The 24,101-nt window shown below is 36.9% G+C and overlaps 1 protein-coding gene across 1 annotated transcript in view; it reads right to left on the reverse strand.

Annotated features, from left to right (window-relative positions):
• The window catches only part of SOX6 (SRY-box transcription factor 6), a 772,029-nt gene that overhangs the window by 544,195 nt on the left and 203,733 nt on the right, over positions 1-24,101 (reverse strand). The window lies entirely within an intron of this gene.

Below are 24,101 nucleotides of genomic sequence, written 5' to 3' on the forward strand. Positions count from 1 at the left end.
ATCCATCTTTTTATGTTAAATTATGATTATTAATACCCTGGCTCTTGCTTCCAATAAGATACGCTGAAAGGTAGGTTATGCTGAGCTTACTACATTGTCATAATTGTTGTTATATGTACATCCTGGAGATTGGTACCATCATTGCTTTAGATTTGGAGTCCATTACAGAGACATTTCTAGCATAGTAATTAATTTTTATTCTCCATTTTCCATGTGGGTAAACTGATTGGGGAGTGGGTGATAGAGGAGAGCAACCAATCCTTCTTGCAGGCTAACTGAAGGCAAATATAATAAAACCCCCAACATTTTTTATCTCAATAACCTGATCTTGTTGAATAAAAAAAATCAGCTTGCAATTTGAAATTATCGTTGGGGAAAAGGGAAGGATACTAAGACGAAAAAACTAAGTTTCCAAGGAAATATATATAAACATATTTCTCTGATAGTTAAAAGAGGAGCTTCATTCTAATTGACGACTTCTTACTGAATGACAGTTTACAAGCAACCTAAACTCACTCTTTGGAGGGAAAAGTATTTTTTACCTTAAAAATATTGTTTAATTGTTTGTTCTTCTGTTTCAAAAGCACATGGATGTATTCTATAGATGAGGATGATTACAGAGCTACAAAGTTTACCACAGTTTCAGTCATCAGTGCTCCCACCCATAGAGTGTCATCCTCAGAAACCATCTGGTGCTCCTTCTGCATAATTAGCAAAATATTGACTTAGCACTTAACACTCTAGGGAGGATTAAACCAATTTTTTTAAGCAAGAAAAATTCCAGCCAAGTCAAAACAGAATTGCAATGTATCAAAACTTTCTCTAAAGGAGATGTTTTTTATATTCCCAGGCTTTACCTGTTTTGTTTTTGTTTTTGTTTTTGTTTTTTTTAATGTAGTACCTGAATTCTACAAATAGATATTCAGTGAGTAGAATGCTGGCAAAGCAGATGTTGCCCCTTGCATCCACCCACTGAATTCTTATTCCCTATTTGGTTGTCTGCAGTGGTGAATCAGAGCAAGGTGACTCAGTCAAACTAATGACAAGAAACTTAAGCTACACTTGCCTCACAGTGTTTACCTTGAAATAAGACTATTAAGCTACTGAAACTTAAAAGCGCAGGAGCTAGCCAAGTTGCAAAATAACATGCAGGATGAGACCACTGCATCATAATTTCTCTAATTGTTTTTCTTAGAGCAGATGTCTAAGATGAGTTCCACACATTAAAAACAAAAGGAAGGAGATTAAGGTTTTGAACTATGGCTCTGACAAGCCCATTTCAGTGTCTTACAGTCATCAGAATTCATTCAAGAGGAAAGCAATAAGCATGGCAAGACATAACTAAACAAAGTATTACACTTTAAAATGTCTTATTTCAGAACAGCAGATTGTATATATGTTCTTTTTTTGTCCCAACTTCCATGAATCAGACATTTGCCTAAGGACAATAGAAACCAACCAAAACCTACCATCTTCCAAACACTTGATGTACACCAGAAAATGTGGTGTCAAGGTAGACAAGAAAAGAGTACTAAGGGCTATATGTCCCAAATTGTGTATCAAGGCACCCCAAGACACCATAAAGAAGTCACAGAAGTACTGGGGGATATCTTAACTTTTTAAGAGAAATAGTAACACATGACATTTGTTGATCACTTAGTGAACCGCAAACACAAATCAGTTTACGGTTTCAACATTACATCACACCACATTCATCTCTATGACATCACATCTTTGCAAAGCTGGGTTTTCAGTGGTTCCTGTGATAAAAAGCAACTATGCTAAAATCCATGTGGAACAGGAAATGAGGACAGCAACATTCAATCTGTTTGCAGTGTCTGAAAAGTGTGCAGTGCTCAAGAAGCACACACATCTCATTAATAATTGTGATTATTTAAGAATAAAATTAAAGTAGTGCTTTTGGCTTCAATATATCTGTATTATTTCTTCAAAGAGCTACTAAGTTATTAGTATATAAATATTGAAGTTTTTTTTTATCCCAACCATGTAGTAAAGTAAACTGTTAGGTATTTCTTTTGGACCAAAGTCACTGTGAAAAAATTACTGACACACTAAAGACACTGTGAACCAAGAAAATTTGACAACTTCTGGCACAGGGCCTTAAAGCCTGCTTGATCATGAATGTAAAAAACTCAAGTAAATAAATGCAAGTCACTGGTGATAAGTAAAGGAAAATAACAAAACTATCTGAAAATGCACTTTTATAACCACTGCCTGAGTAATCAGGGTCCAGAAGAAGGGAATGACTCTGGGAGTACTGTGAGTAAAATCAATAGTCTCAACATCAGTACCAAATAAGTCAGTTCCTTGAAATGTATATGCAATCTAGAAAGGAAACATATGGAAAGGAAGCAATGAGACAACCTGAAAAAAGTAAATCAGTAACACTCTACATACTGAAAGAAAAACTCACTTTCTAGTTTCTAGTTTCTACAACACATTGTTAGGTTAGAAAGTGATAGAGACAAAAAGAAGCATATGTGCAACTTCACACTCAGGAGGTCAACTGGCAGTAGTATGTGGTGGTTTTTTCTGATCCCAAACTAAAATGTAACTAAGAAAATGTACACAAGCTTATGAGAGAAAGAGATAATTTAAAAAGAAATAAAACAAAATTATAGGACTTTAAAGCACTCACACACTCAAAAGAGAGGGACACAGGGGATAAAGTAAAACAGTGGAAGGGGGCCGGGCACAGTGGCTCAGGCCTGTAATCCCAGCACTTTGGGAGGCCAAGGCGGGCGGATCACTTGAGGTCAGAAGTTTGAGACCAGCCTGGCCAACATGGTGAAACTCCATCTCTACTAAAAATACAGAAATTAGCCGGGCAAAGTGGCATGTGCCTGTAATCCCAGCTACCTGGGAGGCTGAAACAAGAGAATTGCTTGAACCCGGGAGGCGGAGGTTGCAGTGAGCTGAGATGGTGCCACTGCACTCCAGCCTGGGCGACAGAGCAAGACTCCATCTCAATAAATAAATAAACAAACAAACAAACCAGCAAACGATGTAAGGGGAAGAATCATCTCCGCACAGAGTAATGTTGCTGAGAAGATGTTGAAATCACAGTTCTTGGCATTACTTGAACTGTGATTCAAACAAGAACACCACTAGAACATTACAGTAAAACACAATGCCGACATATATAAAGGAATGATTCTTATTCCACAAATAAAAAAGATGAGACTCAAATCCAATTGAGTTTTACATTCTTAATAGGCACACAAGATTTTTAATGTAAAAGCAAAAATCCATCTAAATGTAAGACTGCAAACTGTTGGGATTACACCTGTAATCCCAGCACTTTGGGAGGCCAATGCGGGAGAATTGCTTGAGCACAGGAGTTTGAGACCAGCCTGGGCAACAACAGTGAGACCTCCGTCTCTACAAAAAAATTATTTTAAATTAGCCAAACATGATAGCACATTTTTGTAGTTCCAGCTAGTCAGGAGGCTGAGGTGAGAGAATCGCTTCAGCCCAGATGGTCAAGGCTGCAGTGAGCCGGGATCATAACACTGCCCTCCAGCCTGGGCAACAGCGCAAGTCCCTGGCTCAAAAAAAAAAAAAAAAAGGTGTTTAAAAAAATAATACCACCATGTACATATTGTTACATGTTCTTTAAATGAATTAGAGACAACGGAGGAGTTATCTGTGATATCTATGCAGTTATTTCACTAAAAGTAGGTCAGCCCAAAAGAAAACTGGTAAAAGCAGAGTAACATTGGTACATAATAGTTGCCACTAGCCCAAAGAAGTGCATGATCTTGCTTTCCCTGCTATTAGCTAACTGTGTAACCTCTGAAATGTCACTAATATTATGGTTTCTCAGTTTTCCCAGACTTATAAAATAGATAATATATAATATTTATTGTGTCAGAGTTTTTTTTTTCTTTTATTATTATACTTTAAGTTTTAGGGTACATGTGCACATTGTGCAGGTTAGTTACATAGGTATACATGTGCCACACTGGTGCGCTGCACCCACTAACTCGTCATCTAGCATTAGGTATATCTCCCAATGCTATCCCTCCCCCCTCCCCCCACCCCACAACAGTCCCCAGAGTGTGATGTTTCCCTTCCTGTGTCCATGTGTTCTCATTGTTCAATTGCCACCTATGAGTGAGAATATGCGGTGTTTGGCTTTTTGTGCTTGCGATAGTTTACTGAGAATGATGATTTCCAATTTCATCCATGTCCCTACAAAGGACATGAACTCATCATTTTTTATGGCTGCATAGTATTCCATGGTGTATATGCGCCACATTTTCTTAATCCAGTCTATCATTGTTGGACACTTGGGTTGGTTCCAAGTCTTTGCTATTGTGAACAGTGCCACAATAAACATACGTGTGCATGTGTCTTTATAGCAGCATGATTTATAGTCCTTTGGGTATATACCCAGTAATGGGATGGCTGGGTCAAATGGTATTTCTAGTTCTAGATCCCTGAGGAATCGCCACACTGACTTCCACAATGGTTGAACTAGTTTACAGTCCCACCAACAGTGTAAAAGTGTTCCTATTTCTCCACATCCTCTCCAGCACCTGTTGTTTCCTGACTTTTTAATGATCGCCACTTTAACTGGTGTGAGATGGTATCTCATTGTGGTTTTGATTTGCATTTCTCTGATGGCCAGTGATTATGAGCATTTTTTCATGTGTTTTTTGGCTGCATAAATGTCTTCTTTTGAGAAGTGTCTGTTCATGTCCTTTGCCCACTTTTTGATGGGGTTGTTTGTTTTTTTCTTGTAAATTTATTTGAGTTCATTGTAGATTCTGGATATTAGCCCTTTGTCAGATGAGTAGGTTGCGAAAATTTTCTCCCATTTTGTAGGTTGCCTGTTCACTCTGATGGTAGTTTCTTTTGCTGTACAGAAGCTCTTTAGTTTAACTAGATCCCATTTGTCAATTTTGGCTTTTGTTGCCATTGCTTTTGGTGTTTTAGACATGAAGTCCTTGCCCATGCCTATGTCCTGAATGGTATTGCCTAGGTTTTCTTCTAGGGTTTTTATGGTTTTAGGTCTAACGTTTAAGTCTTTAATCCATCTTGAATTGATTTTTGTATAAGGTGTAAGGAAGGGATCCAGTTTCACCTTTCTACATATGGCTAGCCAGTTTTCCCAGCACCATTTATTAAATAGGGAATCCTTTCCCCATTGCTTGTTTTTCTCAGGTTTGTCAAAGATCAGATAGTTGTAGATATGCGGCGTTATTTCTGAGGGCTCTGTTCTGTTCCATTGATCTATATCTCTGTTTTGGTACCAGTACCATGCTGTTTTGGTTACTGTAGCCTTGTAGTATAGTTTGAAGGCAGGTAGTGTGATGCCTCCAGCTTTGTTCTTTTGGCTTTGGATTGACTTGGCAATGCGGGCTCTTTTTTGGTTCCATATGAACTTTAAAGTAGTTTTTTCCAATTCTGTGAAGAAAGGCATTGGTAGCTTGATGGGGATGGCATTGAATCTGTAAATTACCTTGGGCAGTATGGCCATTTTCATGATATTGATTCTTCCTACCCATGAGCATGGAGTGTTCTTCCATTTGTTTGTATCCTCTTTTATTTCATTGAGCAGTGGTTTGTAGTTCTCCTTGAAGAGGTCCTTCACATCCCTTGTAAGTTGGATTCCTAGGTATTTTATTCTCTTTGAAGCAATTGTGAATGGGAGTTCACTCATGATTTGTCTTTCTGTTTGTCTGTTGTTGGTGTATAAGAATGCTTGTGATTTTTGTACATCGATTTTGTATCCTGAGACTTTGCTGAAGTTGCTTATGAGCTTAAGGAGATTTTGGGCTGAGACAATGAATCAAATAGACGCAATAAAAAATGATAAAGGGGATATCACCACCGATCCCACAGAAATACAAACTACCATCAGAGAATACTACAAACACCTCTACGCAAACAAACTAGAAAATCTAGAAGAAATGGATAAATTCCTCGACACATACACTCTCCCAAGACTAAACCAGGAAGAAGTTGAATCTCTGAATAGACCAATAACAGGATCTGAAATTGTGGCAATAATCAATAGCTTACCAACCAAAAAGAGTCCAGGACCAGATGGATTCACAGCCGAATTCTACCAGAGGTACAAGGAGGAACTGGTACCATTCCTTCTGAAACTATTCCAATCAATAGAAAAAGAGGGAATCCTCCCTAACTCATTTTATGAGGACAGCATCATTCTGATACCAAAGTCGGGCAGAGACACAACCAAAAAAGAGAATTTTAGATCAATATCCTTGATGAACATTGATGCAAAAATCCTCAATAAAATACTGGCAAACCGAATCCAGCAGCACATCAAAAAGCTTATCCACCATGATCAAGTGGGCTTCATCCCTGGGATGCAAGGCTGGTTCAATATACGCAAATCAATAAATGTAATCCAGCATATAAACAGAGCCAAAGACAAAAACCACATGATTATCTCAATAGATGCAGAAAAGGCCTTTGACAAAATTCAACAACCCTTCATGCTAAAAACTCTCAATAAATTAGCTATTGATGGGATGTATTTCAAAATAATAAGAGCTATCTGTGACAAACCCACAGCCAATATCATACTGAATGGGCAAAAACTGGAAGCATTCCCTTTGAAAACTGGCACAAGACAGGGATGCCCTCTCTCACCACTCCTATTCAACATAGTGTTGGAAGTTCTGGCCAGGGCAATTAGGCAGGAGAAGGAAATAAAGGGTATTCAATTAGGAAAAGAGGAAGTCAAATTGTCCCTGTTTGCAGACGACATGATTGTATATCTAGAAAACCCCATTGTGTCAGAGTTGATGTAAGAGAGGAATGTGATGATAGAATGAAAATTCTTTGAAAATATAAAATTTTACAATCAAGACATCATTATAACCACTCAAAATAGTACTTTTGCTTTCATTCTCATATGAGCTTAGGAAGAGCCAGACATGCTAGCAATGCAGTTTCAATACTTCTTACATATAACCTATACATTTAACATCTATATATATTACACCCAATGTTAGGACTTAAACCCATGGCCACATCAGATACATGGGCATCAAAGATCAAGAAAATATAACTGTCACTATGATGAGATTATTTAAAACAGTTCATTAAAAGTATTCCTGAATAACTGATTGCCCAATCCTCTAAAGTATATCTACAAAATGCATATTGAGTCTGAAAACTAATCTGTCACTAGGTTCATTTCCAAATGAAATATTTGTCATTATTTATGCCATTTCCAAAATGATTCTCAAATTTAACTACTTTCTATTCTCTCACTGCCCTTGACTAACCCCTTACTGCCTCTCAACTAAACTTCTAAACAGCCTAATTGATACCTTTAATTCTAATATCTTCTGTCTATTCATTGCTCGCCCCATCCATAATCTTTCCAGTTATCTTCCTTAAATATAAATATGATCATGTCACTAGTATGTTCAAAGTCTGTTTGGCTCCACAGCAGTCCTACACATAAAGCCTGAAATCTTTACCGTCCTGTTAAAGGCTTTCATAAATGTGGCCAAATTTTCTTTCACAGCTTCATCTTGAAGACAGACAACAATTCTGCCAAATAAGATTGTTCACTGCTTCCTCAAAATAGGCTGCATTTCCCTCCCTTCAGGGCTTTATTTATGTTCCTTCCTCAAAGCAAGTGGAACGTCATTCCCCTTCAACTCTACCTGTTAAATACAAAATGCTACTTCCTCCACGAAGCCCTCCTGAAAGTTAACTCTCCCAATTGGAGTTAATCTCTTATTCTTTAGCATAATGATAGCATGCGCTTTATACTTTGCTTAGACAGACAAGTTTTGCTTTATATTACAATAATTTATATAATACCTATTGTCTTCTTCACTAGGCTATAAGCTCATTGAGGGGAGAAGACTTGTCTTATTTATTTTAATTACCCCTACAAAGCCTAGAAGAGTTCTCTGAATATCCAGAGCTCTGTAATATGTCTACTGAAGTTAAAAATGGAAAATCCTTACGCAAACAAACTTTATCCAGAAAAATCATAGCTAAGAAATTAATATGAACACATTCCCATGATAGATCAAAGGAAATATTTGCTGTGCTGTGTGCCACATCATATTTTATATCTTGTCTACTTCAAACACTGGCAACTATTTTCAACACAAAAAAAACGTAAATAAGCTGTACTTATACCCTTTAATTTATTTTCGAAAATACAACAGTGATTTGTTCAATAATTGTTTCATGGCAAAACAAATGTATCTGCCTTTCAAAAAACCTCTATTTCTCAAACTCAATTCATGAACATAAGTCATTATCCTTCAAAAGCTGGAAAGAAGAGTAAATTTGCTATCCAAAGTATATACTATTCATATCTGAGCAGACCTCTCCTTTCTACTTATGTCACTAACAGTACTCCTCTTATACCTTTCTTCTGAAAGCAAAGCGCTTTCAAATCCACTAGTACATGTCCCAGTAAGAAAGAGAGAAAGGCTATTGATCCCCACTTAGCAGATTTTGAGAAAGTGGAGATCAAAGAAGAAAAAAACATAAATGAACTTTCATTTTCAGTGGCTAGAATAAAAATCCAATTTTTTTTTTAATTCAGGGGGTACATGTGCAGATTTGTCACCTGAGTATATTGCATAATGGTGACGTTTGGGATCCTGTTGACTTTGTCACTCAAACAGTAAACATTGTACCCAATGGGTAATTTTTCAACCCTTGCCTCTCTCCAACCCTCTCCCTTTTGGAGTTCCTGGTGTCTATTATTTCCATCTTTGTATCCACATGTACTCATCATTTTGATCCTGATTATACACAAAAACATGCAGTATTCCTGTTTCTGAGTTATTTAACTTAGCATAATGGCTTCCATCTAGTTCCATCGATGTTGCTGCAAAGGACATGATTTCATTCTTTTTTATGGCTCAGTAGTATTCTATGATATATATATATATACACCACATTTTCTTTATCCAATCAACCACTGATGGACACTTAAGTTGATTCAGTGACTGCCATTTGTGAATAGTGCTGCAGTAAACAGATGAGTACAGGTGTCTTTTTGATAAAATGATTTCTTTTCCTTTGGGTAGAAACCTACTAGCGAGATTGCTGGGTCAGATAACGGTAGTTTTATTTTTAGTTATTTGAGAAATTTCCATACTGTTTTCCATAGAGGTTAATTTACATTCCCACCAACAGTACATAAGTGTTCCCTTTTATCCACGTCCTCACCAACATCTGTTATTTTTGACTTTTTAATAGCAATTTTGACTGGTGTGAGATGCTAACTCATTGTGGTTTTTAATTTGCATTTCTCTGATGAATTAGTGTTGTTGAGCATTTTTTCATGTATTTTTTGGCCACTTACATGTCTTCTTTTGGGAAGTGTCTGTTCATGTCCTTTGCCCAAATTTTAATGCAGTTATTTGTTTTATTCTTGTTGATTTGTGTAAATTCGTCATAGATTCTGGATATGTTTTTTGTTAGATGCATACTTTGCAAATATTTTCTCCAATTCTGTAGGTTGTCTGTTTAATCTGTTGATTGTTTCTTTTGCTGTATAGAAGCTCTTTAGTTTAATTAAGTTCCACTTGTCAGTTTTTGTTTTTGTTGCATTTGCTTTTGAGGTCATAGTCATGAATTCTTTGCCTAGGCCAATGATGAGAAATGTGTTTCCTAAGTTTTCTTCCAGAATTTTTATAGATTCAGGTCTTATAGTTAAGTCTTTAATCCATTTTGAGTTAATTCTTCTATATGGTGAGATACAGGGGTTGTTTCTATCTTCTGCATATGGCTAGCCATCAACTTGTTTATTAACCGTGTCTTCCAAATTCTATTCACCAGGTTAAACTTCTTAAAGTAAACCTTGGGCCGAGCCAAGATGGCCAAATAGGAACAGCTCTGGTCTACAGCTCCCAGCATTAGCGACGTAGAAGACGGGTGATTTCTGCATTTCCATCTGAGGTACCAGGTTCATCTCACTAGGGAGTGCCAGACAGTGGGCGTAGGACAGTGGGTGCAGCACAACATGTGCGAGCCGAAGCAGGGCGAGGCATGGCCTCACTCGGGAAGCGCAAGGGGTCAGGGAGTTCCCTTTCCCAGTCAAAGAAAGGGGTGATGGACGGCACCTGGAAAATCAGGTCACTCCCACCCTAATACTGTGCTTTTCCAATGGGCTTAAAAAACGGCACACCAGGAGATTATATCCAGCACCTGGCTCAGAGGGTTCTACGCCCACGGAGTCTCGCTGATTGCTAGCACAGCAGTGTGAGATCAAACTGCAAGGTGGCAGCGAGGCTGGGGGAGGGGTGCCCCGCCATTGCCCAGGCTTGCTTAGGTAAACAAAGCAGCCGGGAAGCTCGAACTGGGTGGAGCCTACCACAGCTCAAGGAGGCCTCCCTGCCTCTGTAGGCTCCACCTCTGGGGGCAGGGCACCGACAAACGAAAAGACAGCAGTAACCTCTGCAGACTTAAATGTCCCTGTCTGACAGCTTTGAAGAGAGCAGTGGTTCTCCCAGCATGCAGCTGGAGATCTGAGAATGGACAGACTGCCTCCTCAAGTGGGTCCCTGACCCCTGAACCCCGAGCAGCCTAACTGGGAGGCACCCCCAGTAGGGGCAGACGGACACCTCACACGGCCGGGTACTCCTCTGAGACAAAACTTCCAGAGGAACGATCAGACAGCAGCATTCGCGATTCACGAAAATCCACTGTTCTGCTGCCACCACTGCTGATACCCAGGCAAACAGGGTCAGGAGTGGACCTCTAGCAAACTCCAACAGACCTGCAGCTGAGGGTCCTGTCTGTTAGAAAGAACACTAACAAACAGAAAGGACATCTACACCAAAAACCCATCTGTACATCACCATCATCAAAGACCAAAAGTAGATAAAACCACAAAGATGGGGAAAAAAACAGAGCAGAAAAACTGGAAACTCTAAAAAGCAGAGCGCCTCTTCTCCTCCAAAGGAATGCAGTTCCTCACCAGCAACGGAACAAAGCTGGATGGAGAATTACTTTGACGAGTTAAGAGAAGGCTTCAGATGATCAAACTACTCCGAGCTACAGGAGGAAACTCAAACCAAAGGCAAAGAAGTTAAAAACTTTGAAAAAAATTTAGACGAATGTATAACTAGAAGAACCAATACAGAGAAGTGCTTAAAGGAGCTGATGGAGCTGAAAGCCAAGGCTCGAGAACTATGTGAAGAATGCAGAAGCCTCAGGAGCCGATGTGATCAACTGGAAGAAAGGGTATCAGTGATGGAAGATGAAACGAATGAAATGAAGCGAGAAGAGAAGTTTAGAGAAAAAAAGAATAAGAACAAATGAACAAAGCCTCCAAGAAATATGGGACTATGTGAAAAGACCAAATCTACGTCTGATTCGTGTACCTGAAAGTGACAGGAAGAATGGAACCAAGTTGGAAAACACTCTGCAGGATATTATCCAGGAGAACTTCCCCAATCTAGCAAGGCAGGCCAACATTCACATTCAGGAAATACAGAGAACGCCACAAAGATACTCCTCAAGAAGAGCAACTCCAAGACACATAATTGTCAGATTCACCAAAGTTGAAATGAAGGAAAAAATGTTAAGGGCAGCCACAGAGAAAGGTCGGGTTACCCACAAAGGGAAGCCCATCAGACTAACAGCGGATCTCTTGGCAGGAACTCTACAACCCAGAAGACAGTGGGGGCCAATATTCAATATTCTTAAAGAAAAGAATTTTCAACCCAGAATTTCATATCCAGCCAAACTAAGCTTCATAAGTGAAGGAGAAATAAAATCCTTTACAGAGAAGCAAATGCTGAGAGATTTTGTCATCACCAGGCCTGCCCTAAAAGAGCTCCTGAAGGAAGCACTAAACATGGAAAGGAACAACCAGTACCAGCCACTGCAAAATCATGCCAAAATGTAAGGACCATCGAGACTAGGAAGAAACTGCATCAACTAACGAGCAAAATAACCAGCTAACATCATAATGACACGATCAAATTCACACATAACAATAATAACTTTAAATGTAAATGGACTAAATGCTCCAATTAAAAGACACAGACTGGCAAGTTGGATAAAGAGTCAAGACCCATCAGTGTGCTGTATTCAGGAAACCCATCCCACGTGCGGAGACACACATAGGCTCAAAATAAAAGGATGAAGGAAGATCTACCAAGCAAATGGAAAGCAAAAAAAGGCATGGGTTGCAATCCTAGTCTCTGATAAACCAGACTTTAAACCAACAAAGATCAAAAGAGACAAAGAAGGCCATTACATAATGCTAAAGAGATCAATTCAACAAGAAGAGCTAACTATCCTAAATATACATGCACCCAATACAGGAGCACCCAGATTCATAAAGCAAGTCCTTAGAGACCTACAAAGAGACTTAGACTCCCACACAATAATAATGGGAGACTTTAACACCCCACTGTCAACATTAGACAGATCAACAACACAAAAAGTTAACAAGGATATCCAGGAATTGAACTCAGCTCTGCACCAAGTGGACCTAATAGACATCTACAGGACTCTCCATCCCAAATCAACAGAATATACATTTTTTTTCAGCACCACACCACACCTATTCCAAAATTGACCACATACTTGGAAGTAAAGCTCTCCTCAGCAAATGTAAAAGAACAGAAATTATAACAAACTATCTCTCAGATCACAGTGCAATCAAACTAGAACTCAGGATTAAGAAACTCACTCAAAACCGCTCAACTACATGGAAACTGAACAACCTGCTCCTGAATGACTACTGGGTACATAAGGAAACGAAGGCTGAAATAAAGATGTTCTTTGAAACCAACGAGAACAAAGACACAACATACCAGAATCTCTGGGACACATTCAAAGCAGTGTGTAGAGGGAAATTTATAGCACTAAATGCCCACAAGAGAAAGCAGGAAAGATCTAAAATTGACACCCTAACATCACAATTAAAAGAACTAGAAAAGCAAGAGCAAACACATTCAAAAGCTAGCAGAAGGCAAGAAATAACTAAGATCAGAGCAAAACTGAAGGAAATAGAGACACAAAAAACACTTCAAAAAATTAATGAATCCAGGAGCTGGTTTTTTGAAAGGATCAACAAAATTGATAGACCACTAGCAAGACTAATAAAGAAAAAAAGAAAGAAGAATCAAATAGACTCAATAAAAAGTGATAAAGGGGATATCACCACCGATCCCACAGAAATACAAACTACCATCAGAGAATACTACAAACACCTCTACGCAAACAAACTAGAAAATCTAGAAGAAATGGATAAATTCCTCAACACATACACCCTCCCAAGACTAAACCAGGAAGAAGTTGAATCTTTGAATAGACCCATAACAGGCTCTGAAATTGTGGCAATAATCAATAGCTTACCAACCAAAAGAGGGACCAGATGGATTCACAGCTGAATTCTACCAGAGGTACAAGGAGGAACTGGTACCATTCCTTCTGAAACTATTCCAATCAATAGAAAAAGAGGAAATCCTCCCTAACTCATTTTATGAGGACAGCATCATCCTGATACCAAAGTCGGGCAGAGACACAAACAAAAAAGAGAATTTTAGACCAATATCCTTGATGAACATTGATGCAAAAATCCTCAATAAAATACTGGCAAACCGAATCCAGCAGCACATCAAAAAGCTTATCCACCATGATCAAGTGGGCTTCATCCCTGGGATGCAAGGCTGGTTCAATATACGCAAATCAATAAATGTAATCCAGCATATAAACAGAACCAAAGACAAAAACTACATGATTATCTCAATAGATGCAGAAAAGGCCTTTGACAAAATTCAACAACCCTTCATGCTAATAAAAACTCTCAATAAATTAGGTATTGATGGGACATATCTCAAAATAATAAGAGCTATCTATGACAAACCCACAGCCAATATCATACTGAATGGGCAAAAACTGGAAGCATTCCCTTTGAAAACTGGCACAAGACAGGGATGCCCTCTCTCACCACTCCTATTCAACATAGTGTTGGAAGTTCTGGCCAGGGCAATTAGGCAGGAGAAGGAAATAAAGGGTATTCAATTAGGAAAAGAGGAAGTCAAATTGTCCCCGTTTGCAGATGACATGATTGTATATCTAGAAAACCCCATTGTCTCAGCCCAAAATCTCCTTAGCTGATAAGCAACTTCAGCAAAGTCTCAGGATACAAAATCAATGTGCAAAAATCACAAGCATTCTTATACACCAATAACAGACAAACAGAGAGCCATATCATGAGTGAACTCCCATTCACAATTGCTTCAAAGAGAATAAAATATCTAGGAATCCAACTTACAAGGGACGTGAAGGACCTCTTCAAGGAGAACTACAAACCACTGCTCAATGAAATAAAAGAGGATACAAACAACTGGAAGAACACTCCATGCTCATGGGTAGGAAGACTCAATATTGTGAAAATGGCCATACTGCCCAAGGTAATTTATAGATTCAATGCCATCCCCATCAAGCTACCAAGGACTTTCTTCACAGAATTGGAAAAAACTACTTTAAAGTTCATATGGAACCAAAAAAGAGCCCGCATTGCCAAGTCAATCCTAAGCCAAAAGAACAAAGATGGAAGCACCACGCTACCTGACTTCAAACTATACTACAAGGCTACAGTAACCAAAACAGCATGGTACTGGTACCAAAACAGAGATATAGATCAATGGAACAGAACAGAGCCCTCAGAAATAACGCCGCATATCTACAACTATCTGATCTTTGACAAACCTGAGAAAAACAAGCAATGGGGAAAGGATTCCCTATTTAATAAATGGTGCTGGGAAAACTGGCTAGCCATATGTAGAAAGCTGAAATTGGATCCCTTCCTTACACCTTATACAAAAATCAATTCAAGATGGATTAAAGACTTAAACGTTAGACATAAAACCATAAAAACCCTAGAAGAAAACCTAGGCATTACCATTCAGGACATAGGCATGGGCAAGGACTTCATGTCTAAAACACCAAAAGCAATGGCAACAAAAGCCAAAATTGACAAATGGGATCTAATTAAACTAAAGAGCTTCTGCACAGCACAAGAAACTACCATCAGAGTGAACAGGCAACCTACAAAATGGGAGAAAATTTTCGCAACCTACTCATCTGACAAAGGGCTAATATCCAGAATCTACAATGAACTCAAACAAATTTACAAGAAAAAAACAAACAACCCCATCAACAAGTGGGCGAAGGATATAAACAGACACTTCTCAAAAGAAGACATTTATGCAGCCAAAAGACACATGAAAAAAATGCTCATAATCACTGGCCATCAGAGAAATGCAAATCAAAACCACAATGAGATACCATCTCACACCAGTTAGAGTGGCGATCATTAAAAAGTCAGGAAACTACAGGTGCTGGAGAGGATGTGGAGAAATAGGAACACTTTTACACTGTTGGTGGGACTGTAAACTAGTTCAACCATTGTGGAAGTCAGTGTGGCGATTCCTCAGGGATCTAGAACTGGAAATACCATTTGACCCAGCCATCCCATTCCTGGGTATATACCCAAAGGACTATAAATCATGCTGCTATAAAGACACATGCACACATATGTTTCTTGCGGCACTATTCACAATAGCAAAGACTTGGAACCAACCCAAATGTCTAACAATGTAGACTGGATTAAGAAAATGTGGCACATATACACCATGGAATACTATGCAGCCATAAAAAATGATGAGTTCATGTCCTTTGTAGGGACATGGATGAAATTGGAAATCATCATTCTCAGTAAACTATCGCAAGGACAAAAAACCAAACACCGCATGTTCTCACTCATAGGTGGGAATTGAACAATGAGAACACATGGACACAGGAAGGGGAACATCACACTCCGGGGCCTGTTGTGGGGTGGGGGGAGTGGGGAGGGATAGCATTAGGAGATATACCTAATGCTAAATGATGAGTTAATTGGTGCAGCACACCAGCATGGCACATGTATACATATGTAACTAACCTGCACATTGTGCACATGTACCCTAAAACTTAAAGTATAATAATAATAAATTAAAATAAATAAATAAAGTAAATCTCTCTCCCAAATTTCATAATGTGATACTAACTTTAAAAGTACTAACTTATCTAAATATTAATCCAGCCTTTCGTATATCAATTTTACTTAAAATAAGACCCAGATATTTTTAAACTGGCAAGAAAATAGAGACATAGAACACAAAAGAGAAATTAAGGTCACAGAATGAACTCAAATGTGGCATTGAGGACTACAGTCCTCTTAATTCTATAAAGTTTTTAAGTTTTTCCCCGGACATCTTCTAAGATACTCTTACCCACACCTACATGCATAAATGTAGGGAGAAGGAACTATGGCAGATTATATAATAGATAGAAACACTTTTTAAACAAACTTTCATGCCCTAATACAGTAGATCCCAATCCAAAGAAGAAGCTCCAGCGGCCAAAAAGGACTTTTCACTCAGGAGCAACAGCCAGATATCAGCTGTTCATTGCAAGTATCCTGACTGGCATCTCAGTTACTTTAAAGAGGCTCATAAAAATTCCTAGAGCACTGAAGAGGGAAAAAAAAATCAACCTAGGCAATTAGTCAAAAGAAAAGGGTCACTGCCACAGACACTTCATTTTAGAATCCTGGAAACTGACAGCTTCATGAAATTGCATTTCCACTTTCTAATATTTAACTATTTCTTTACTCTTTTTTGTTGCAACCCTCAGCTGGAACCTGCTCTGGGAACAGTATTTAATTGCTACCCTGGGTGAAATTAAGTTAATCTAATTTACCTCTCCCAGATGTATTCATATTTTATACTTGCTCAGTAATCCTGAAATGGGAAGATAAGTGCTGAAGAGGGAAGGAATCTAACATGTCTTAGAAGCCTAACACATGTGGTAGGTTGTATTATGTTCCAAATTATCTTTTCCCACCCTTTGCCATGTGACTTCTTTTGCCTCCCAATAGATGAAATACATTTCTTTGCCTCATCACCAGGCTTAGACATATAACCTGGCTAACAGAATATGAGAAGATGTAACAAATGCCATATCTGTACGAAAACTATTAATGCACCTGCATAGTGTTGTATTCTTGGCCTCTGTTTGGAGAACAGCATGTCCCAGATAGGAGCTGCTCCTTCAATTTGAATCACAGACTGAAATGACATACAGAGAAACAAACAGAGACAAGTAGAGCCACAGCCAACCTGCAAACCCATCACTGAAAAATAAATGTCTGTCGTTTCAAGCCACTGGGACTTCGGGAGTCATTGTGACGGCAGCAAAGCTCCAAAACACAAAAATTGGTAAAAGAAATGGTTTTATGGTACATAACAACCTCAAAATCTTAGTGACTTACAAAAATAAATATTCATTTCTCAGGTTGTATTACAAGTTGGTGGATGCAGGTCAGCTTCTGTGTCTCTGCTCAAGGCTGTGAGTCAGATTCAAGCCCGCTCCATTATTTTCTTATTCTAGATCTCAGTTTGCAGGTACATCCCACGTATGAAACATGCCCTTCTTGTAACATAAGGCACAGGATAAGAGGCCCGGTAGAAATTTTACAATGTTTCTAAAAGTCTGCTCATAATTACATGGCCAAAGTCAATGGGAAGGAGGAAATATACTTACTCTATAAGAAATGAAGAAATAAGTACAATATGTCACACTTACTATATTCCAATCATTGTTGTAGCTGTGTTTTACATAAGTTATCTCACTTACATCTCATACCAATATTTCAAGGAAGACGTTATTCTCATCTTTTAGAAAATTCAGACTCAGAGAAGTAATCTAACTTGTCCAAAGTTATTCAGAGGGTGTGTGAAGGGAGGGCTAGGGTCCCAGTCCACGAATATGTGACTCCAAAGCATTTGCTCTTACTTCCATCCCACATTCACACTCAGTTTTTCTCTGTCAAGTTATAAGCATTAACTTAACAGATGGGATCTGTCCTTGTGTAAAACCAGTATTGGCTATCACAGATTTCAATAGGTAACCTTTCTAAGTGAAATAGGGAAATGTAAGGGTAGTGAAAAAGAGGGGAACGTCTATGAAAATAGACTTATGAAATGATAGGCAGAAATGAGCACAACAATGAGAAGATATGTGAATGAGAACCCAAGGAACTGGAAAATAAGAAGAGAAATTGATAGCACTTCTCTGGGCAAGAGCACTTTCAAAAATAGCTTGCCTCAGGGGAAAACTTTTTAGACTCTGATTTCACAGGCCATAAGAAAAGCACTAGGGTGTTTCCCTTTCCTTCAAAAGTACACACCCAGTTATTTTGTAGCTGCCTGAATACTACTATGTATTCACTCTAGTGACTGTTTTGAGACTGGTGGTCTCCTACCTTATGGGCATTGAGTGCTTTTTAAAAATCTAAAACCCATGCCATCCCTGATGCACCTGGACAGGCTGCTCTCAACACATTTTTTATCTGAGTCACATCTTTGGAGCTTCAGACCACGATATGTCTGCCAATTTCTACCACAGTTTTAATCTATTTGAAATATTAACATACTATAATAGCAATGTAACTTCTAAGTTGTTATTGTTGATATTATTAATTCAAGAATTAAAACACTGAATACATTATTATGCCAGCAGAAAATTGTCTAACCATCAGGTAAATAATAATTAGAGTTATAGAAGCACCATAGGATATTAGTTCCTGAAACAGAAAGCTGGAAAATCTTATAGCAGGCCTCCAAGCCAGATAGCCAGACTGCCAAAATCTCCGAGTGATACAGTACATTACTACTAATTAAGTCTTGTATAAGCATTCCATGCTATTTTGTTTGGCTATATTGGAAGATCCTGTTACTCTAACACACAATGGAGAGAAAAAGAAAAACAGGCAAATATTTTCCCAGGCATGAGAAGAAAACTGCAGCAGTCAATTCTTGTCCATACAATTTGGCCTAACTATTCTCCTCTTCAACCTTGACATTTGTCCCCAAATGTTGCTATCCAGCTAACCACTCACAATCTTCCAGTAAAATAAATAAGCTATATTTACCTATCATGGCTTTGGATATTTTCCTGTAATTCAGAATGTCAAATAAATTACACGGTATATTAAACAAGAATGGAATTAATTGGTGCATAAATAATGTATCTCAGAAATATTACCTTGTTCATTCTCAGGTATCAGTGGACTATTCTAGTTGGTGGCACTCAGACCCTTTAACATTGATCCCTTTAACAGATAATCCAAAAGAGAAAAAAATCTTACCAATGCAGTATGTGTCTGTGCACACCCAGATGCAAAACATCAAAATAAATTTATGACCTATTATTATTATTATTGCTTATATGTGTGGGTGGATAAAATGTACAGAAACGCTTATTAAATTTAAATTAGCCAAAAGGTGGCAGTAGAAAGTCTAACTATGAAACACAGCATAAAATCTCATTTATCCAAAATTTGTGATTGTATAAACAAGGACTGGATGACATATAACAGAAAAAAAAACACAGCTTTGCAGTCAGATAGATCTAGCCTCTAATTCCAGCTCTATTACTGTGTGACACTGCACTATCAGCTTCTCTGAGCCTCAGATTTCTAATCTTTAAATGAGACAACTTTGAAAATATACAGGATTTTTAAGGATCAAGAGAGATAATAATTGCATAAACCTCATTGGACAAGGCTTAACACATGGTAGATACTCAGTAAATGTTAGAAAATGTTTGACATAAAAGGAGTAGAGGATATAAACATTTTTTTAAAGTGCAATTCAGAATTCTTGTTAAAGTGAAGAAATAAAAGCAATTTTTTCTTTACCCTTCTCCTTTGAAAACAACTAAAATGAATGCAAAATGGGAGGTGGAAGACTCTTCAATGATACAGTGAAACACCTAAAAGCTCAAGCCACAGTATGAAAAATATCTGCCAAATACATTGATATCTGAGCCAGAATAAGGGAGAATACAACCTGACACCAACCACCTCATGTTCAAGCAAGAATAAATTTCTCTAAACGTATGAAAGGATATCAAATTCTCCTTTGATTAAAGTGATAAGACTTAGGGCCATTATAGACAACAGAACTAATAGGAAATATTCCTGCGAAGAAATATCCCAGCTCCACACTGATGAATTGAAGGTAAAGTAGAGCTGAATAAAGAAGAAACATGCAGACAGACTATCTTGTCTATAATCTAATCTCCTAAGACACTGTCCGAGGTGAAGGAAAGGAAGCAGAGATGACCAGATCACAACACGGATAGCCTGACTTAAGGTGCTTCGTTGTAAGCCACACCAAACTTCTAATGCCAAAAACTAAGGAGAGATATAGGAAAATAATGTAAACATATTTTATATATATATAGAATGTAAATATATTATATATAGAATGTAAATATATATAAATATATATAATGTTAAAATATATATATTCCTCTATATATATATATATGTTCCTCTACAGATAGATAGATATACATCTCTATATAGATATATATTTCAGATTAAATTAAACTTCTGTAAATTTGGTGATTGTTGCAATAAGGACACACCAAGGGAAAGAGAAGAGAATGTTTCCTCATAGATATATATAGAGAGAAAGAGAGAAAGGAAAAAATATATATACATATATGAGGATTTTCAAGACAACAAATCCCAGTTAAATCTGCTGGGACTAATTTTTTAAAACTTGCCCCTACACAACCCCTCCTAATATTATTTTTCAGCAAGTAGCTATCCAGTATTAAAATGCCCCCATTTGAAGATAAGCAATAAGAAAAAATCAGCACTGGACCCATATATACATTTATAATAAAAAAAGAATATAATTTAAAGAGATGGGCATATATTTAATTCAAGCTGAATGTATTAAATTCTACTGTGTCATGTTCTTTTACTCATGTCATAACAAATTTAACCTTGCTTAATATATATATCAACCCTATGGAATAAATATTACATTCCTATTTTTTTAATGAGGAAACTTGAGGTCTAAGGTCTACTTGCAGCTGTCACATGTTGGAATCTGGATATAAATCCAGGTCTTCTGAATTAAAAGCCCATACTCTAAATATACCTTTCATAAGTATTTACACTTAAATAATATCCACTCGCAGACTTGGTCTTTCCACACTAAAGTCTTACATTATGTGTAGTCTATATTAATGTGAATTCACTCATACTCGCTAATCTTTTTCTTGATTTCTTTTGATCCGTATTTCTTTCTGAATATACAATAACAAAACCTGGTTTTCCAGCCAGTTTGCTACTACATTGTTTCGCTTAAGGACAAGAGTCTATTGTATTTTGTTTCAAATATTTTTCCTCATGACATCCAATATTTCTTCTGATTTTTTGGTCACATACAAACAGAAATCTCTAAAATAATTCTGCCTACTTTAGATAGTAAGTAAGAGTTAAGCTTTGTTGTCTTTGTCTTAAACAGAAATAAAAATGGAAATAATCTCCAATTGGGCAAGTGAAGACTTCCTATGCCATTTTCTTCTTATTTTCCTATATGTGGTATTCTTTTTATATTATCCATTCGTAACTAGCATTTTTCTACCTGAAAAAGTTTGTAACATGCTTCTCATTTCAAGGAAATAAGAGATTTCCCTATACTTCCTCTTCAAATTCATTTTTTTAAGTGACTAGTCTTAGAACTAATCCCAAAGAACCCTCTCTGTTAACACTACTCTATTTAGGAAAGGGCCTATTTATTCTTACTCTTCAGTTTTTTAATCCACTGTATGATCAAGAAATGAGACAAAGCTAGCTAACTGGCTTATAGTCCTATGACTTTAATCTCTTCTACACTGGGCTCTAAATTAATTCTTCAGAAATCAGAAAAACTCATTCAATTCTGTAACAAATGTTCAATCCTGGTGCTTAATATACAATTATATCTCATAGTAATCTTGCTCACTTAATAATAAAAGAAAACTGGTTTCTTGTAGTCTCCTTAGCAAATCTCAACTACTGAATCCTACTTAGAGCATGTCCACTACATCATGATTCAAAACATTTTAAAATAACAATGTATACTCCAGAGTAATTGAAGGAAAATACTTTATAAAAACAGACCTAGTCATAATATGCCTTAACATTTAAGCCCAAAATAAAATGCAGTCTAAATATCAACTTCTGGTCTCAGTGATATAATGGCAAGGTTCAAAAATATCCTAAATATCTTCTGAAGCATGATATGCCAGTACTGTCAAGCACCAAACACAAAGCTAGAAGCTGTGAATTACAAAGGTCTTAAAACAAATTTACAAAGTGTAATCACTCTTCATAGGTGAGATATTCTGTTTATTCTATGGAGGAATATTTCAGTTTAAATTAAACATCTGTATATTTTGGTGTGTGTTGCAATAAGGACACGCCAAGGGAAAGAGAAGAGAATGTTTCATCATGTTCAGCATAATGCAAGTATAATATGAATTTCTGATAGAAATATTTTCAAGAAAATGAAATCACTAAATTAAAATTTCATTTAATATTGATGCCCTTTATCATCAAAAAATACCTAGACACAAAATTACAGATTGGCATCTTTTTAAAACATAATACTTAGCATACTAATTATATTCATTCAGCAAAGAAATCATTAAAATGTTCAACATAAATCAAAAGTATATAATATCAGTACCTTGCAATAGAAACATAGTATTTAAAGCTAAATGAATATATCTTTAATATTTTTGGCATAATTTAGTCTATGAAGCTGGGTAAGATGATAGGTGACTGAAAAACTGAATAACCCCTAAAAACTAAACAAAATGGAGAATTAATAGAAATATCAATAAAGAGTATTAAGATCAAAAAAATACTTGCATCTTGAGATCTGAGAAGTCATATTCTGAAATTTGAATTCTGAAGACGTTAAAGGTGGAAAACATGCTTGAAAGTCATGTATTAACTTCTTGTCATTCCTTTGCAGAAGCAGAAAATGGTTGCTACATTTTTCACCCTAAGCTGAAGATGCTTAAAGTGATAAAAGTTTTAAAGATTATATACCCTCATTGAAAATATGAAATTTTGTCTTCTGAAAAAGAGTAATATTGCTAACTTTTAATTTTGTCCTATTGGGATGCACGTTTGAACAGGAGAGAGAGAGATAATAAACAAAACCTAAATACTAAAATGAAAGTGCCCAAACACAAGAATAATCATATTATGTCATTTGGTGACAATAAATTTGTGTCATTTTTTAAAATAAACATATATTTCCTTCAGTTTTATTTATAACCAATAAGATATCAAGTAAAAATTCACATAAAAATAAAGTTCACAGTTCCAAACAAAGATAATTTTGATGATCAGTTTTTGAAAACAAATAACACTACATCTGTTGAGCACATGTTTTTGTCTTGTGTGCACCTTACATACCAGTCTATGTCTCAAAAGCACATAAAGTTTCAAGGTAATACATAATTAGGAATTTTCTTAAATGTATCAAATCAGAATCAATAACTGGCAATTTAAAGTAATGACTTGTCAACCATAACACATTTTCAACACTGTATTAGATAGAATGGCACAGCAGAACCAATAAGTCCAATATTCTTATTCATTCAAATTCTTATTCATCTCTTAATCTATATATCATACAATATTGGTTGGTGATGCAAAAGTCTTCATATAGAAAAACCTAGAAAATTCTCAAATGAGCACTTCTTAGGCCTGCATATCACAGAACCTTGAAAACTTTAAAAACCAAGAGACTAGGAACCTAAAAGAAAGAAAGTTATAGATAACACTGATTTTTTTAATAGTTTTAAAACATTTTTTAAATAAGATCACATTTTTTTCCAGCGAAGTTGGACTTAGGTTTCTTCTAGAACTTTGCCTTGTATATAAAATGAACTTGAAATAAAGGGCTTCCAAGTTCCCTCCAATTCTAAAACAATGCAGTTTTATAGTCTTTGGAAATATCAGAAGTTCCCAACACACAAATGGATTTAGTTTCAAAAGTTTGGAATGTACTTTCCCATAGAAACAATGATGCCAATAGGAGTTAGAAAACTATGCCACTTCACTCATAGAATGGCTGAGCACTGAATTATAACTAACACCAGTTTCTATAAGAAAATATTCATTGAGTTTTGTCTGGGGACCCCAAGAACAAACTGTCCTCCTGACCCTCACACCCCAAACACCCCAAGCA

Source organism: Homo sapiens, chromosome 11, assembly GCF_000001405.40.
Source record: "Homo sapiens chromosome 11, GRCh38.p14 Primary Assembly".
NCBI lineage: Eukaryota > Metazoa > Chordata > Mammalia > Primates > Hominidae > Homo > Homo sapiens.